Source organism: Homo sapiens, chromosome 21, assembly GCF_000001405.40.
Source record: "Homo sapiens chromosome 21, GRCh38.p14 Primary Assembly".
In the NCBI taxonomy this organism is placed as follows: domain Eukaryota; kingdom Metazoa; phylum Chordata; class Mammalia; order Primates; family Hominidae; genus Homo; species Homo sapiens.
In genome coordinates, this window is record NC_000021.9 from 17,370,175 (window position 1) to 17,373,198 (window position 3,024).

The following is a 3,024-nucleotide window of genomic DNA, read 5'->3' on the forward strand; positions in this document are numbered from 1 at the left end:
GTGCGCCACCACACCTGGCTAATTTTTTATTTTTTGTAGAGATGGGATCTTGCTATGTTGCCTAGGCTGGTTTTGAACTCCTGGGCTCAAGCGATCCTCCCACCAAGGCCTCCCAAAGTGCTGGGATTAGAGGTGTAAGCCACTACACCCAGCCCAGGTAACTTTTAGACATGTGTTGGGAACTCAGGCTTACCACACCTGATGAAGTAGGAAGCAAAGCCTGTGCTCAGAGTGGAAAACCAGGAGTGGCCCGGCCGTGATGGCAGTTTGGGGTTTCCACCTAGAGGTTGCTAAACAGGCTTAGCAGCATCACAGAGAGAACTGGTCACATGGCTTGTAGCCACATAGTTTGAGCCCCACTGCAAAATGAAAAGCAAAGTTCCTTACTGATAAATTATTAAGAATTTCAAAACAACGAAGGCACAGCAGTGAAACAATTATAAGCACAAGGTCCTTCCCCATGTGGAGCCTCGTGAGACTACACAGGTCACATGGCCATGAAGCTGGCCCTGATGAGAAGTCACAGGTAAAAATATTCTATAAATATATGCTGGTGGCAGGAATTAGAGTATGCCACTCCAAAATATACCACTTTATCATAAGGATTATTTTGAGCTGAAGATAATTAAGCAATAGCAGGTGCAGGAAAAGCTCTCTGCCTTCCTCCTTTCTGTCTAAAAGCAGGGTGTAAATTTCCCTTTGTAAAGGCAATGTAAATATCCATTTATAAAAGTGTCTCCCCCTCCCACACCAGGAAGAGAAGGATGCTGTTAATCACCAGAGACAACTCTTATCAATGGAGAAGGCAACAACTGGAGCCTGTGTAACAACTCTTGCTAAATAACTCTGCTGTGGTCTGAAAGTTTTTGTCCCCCCAAAATTTATCTGTTGAAATTCAAATTCCTAAGGTGATGGTGTTAGATTATTAGGTCATGAGGTCGGATCCCTCATGAATGGAAATAATGCCCTTACAAGGAAACCCCAGAAAGCGCATTCACTCTTTCCTCCACGTGAGGTTACAGTGAGAAAACAGCCATTGTTAACCAGGACGTGAGCCTTCACCAGACATCAAATCTGCCAGCACCTTGATCTTAAACTTCTCAGCCTCCGGAACTGTAAGAATAAATTGCTGTTGTTTATAAGCTACCCAGTTTATGGCATTTTTGTTATAACAGCCCAAACAGGCTAAGACAACCCTTATCTTCCATCAATTTCCCTTATATATTTACCTCTCCAAAATTTAACTCCCTTAGAAAACTAAGCCCCCTGTTCCTTTGTCTAATTACTTCTCCATGATTTATTACTCTTTGTAAAAATGACATAGAACCTCCCATGTCTAACCAGTTCTTTGGGTTTTCTCTTCTCTTCTGTGAAGCCATGCATGTTTACATGTAACAAACCTTCTCTCCTGTTAAGCTGTCTTCTGTCACTTTAATTTACAGAGCCTCATTCAGTGAACCTAAGAAAACAGAAAAAAAAAAAAAAAAGCATTCCCACGCTGGCATCACATACCAGATTTCTGATTCACTCTGCTACTTCTAACCAAAATCTTTCTCTATGAGGAAGAAGAGAAACAGGTAGTGACTAATTTCCTCTAATCACATGCAGTTTTCCATCTCTTCATTTTGTAGCTAAGTGAAACAATTATTCTCCTCTTTCCATAATGGAGAATATTGATCTTATTTCTCAGCAAGCCTTGCTCATTATGCCAAATTCTTTTGTCAAATTACTTTATAGTAATAATATCAGATAAATTATCAGCTTGAAAATTGACTCTACTTCTTAAAACAGAGACCACATTTTTTAACAAAACAAAATTATTTCATTGAGGAGATTAGAGAATATCATTATAGGACAATAGAGAAAAGTTATTCCTGTAAAGGAATTCTGAAACTAGCCAATTTTATTTGTCCACATAGAGGCTGAAGGAGTTTCAAGTTACAGTGTTTAAATATTTCAGAACAGTTTTTAAATTATATCTTGATTTCAGAAAATTAAAATTTAATCAAGGTGTTTCCTTCCAGTATCTCACTTTCTTCCCCCAAATTTTAGTGTTTTTCAACTAGAGCCCTGTTTCAATTATTAATCAGAAATATTTGTTTTAAAACTAATGAGATAATTACATATTTGCTTAAATACTTAAGCAACCTGACTTGTGTATATAACTCTTATAATTATTTTCATTGCTCATGAACTCTCAAGATACTGAGTGTACCTGCCGGTTATGTTTTCAAATACGTTTGTATTAGACTAGCTGAAACTATTTTAACAATGTTTGTAGAGATTTTGTGGCAGCCAGAATGCACCTGAAGAAACATTTTTAAGATAGATAAAATTGTACAGAGAAAAAGAAGCAGGTAGTATCTTCTAGTCCTCCCTCTCAAGAAAATTTACTAGCACAAATGTACCATTTGCAAAAATCTGTTGATGTAAACTAGAACACTTTGGTTGTACCTCATTTTTTCCCCTGGAACTGTAAAACAGTCGATGGAGTTAAGCTTGGATCAAACTTTGAGCCTGCAAATTATTATGACTATGCTTTGAACAATCTGTCAAAATCTCTGAGTCTGTTTCTTCATTGGTGCAATAAAAGTTATAATTTCTGAAATGATTATAGAAGCACCTTAGAAAATTGAAAGCATTATGAAAAAAGAAGAAGAAGAAGAAGAAGAAGCTGCTGCTATTCATGTCACTCTATGTTCTAACACTAACTTCATTATAATGAAGGGAGTGGACTTAGACATATAACCTCCCTGAGCCACAGTTTTCAGTAATAATAAGTACATAATAACGGTAATAATAATAACAACAATAACACCTACAGGGTTTAGATGAAGATCAAATGAGATTATATCAACTGTTAATATGCAGTTAGACAAATGGATGGATAGAGAAAGAGACAGACAGACAATAGAAATATGCTGTGGGAACATACTTTGTCCTCTCAGAAGTCCCCAGTGTAATAGAAGACATAATGTAGATACATAAATAATCGTAGCATGTGGAAGGCTATAACTGTCAAAA

General features: G+C 37.1%; 1 annotated feature.

Annotated features, from left to right (window-relative positions):
* Positions 623-1,822: an enhancer, noted in NCBI's record as "P300/CBP strongly-dependent group 1 enhancer chr21:18743116-18744315 (GRCh37/hg19 assembly coordinates)". NCBI's record gives its function as "activates an origin of replication core promoter dependent on BRD2, BRD4, P300/CBP, MED14 and CDK7 cofactors, with strong dependence on P300/CBP, by STARR-seq in HCT116 cells {active_cell/tissue: HCT116}" and the evidence as "EXISTENCE:reporter gene assay evidence [ECO:0000049][PMID:35650434]".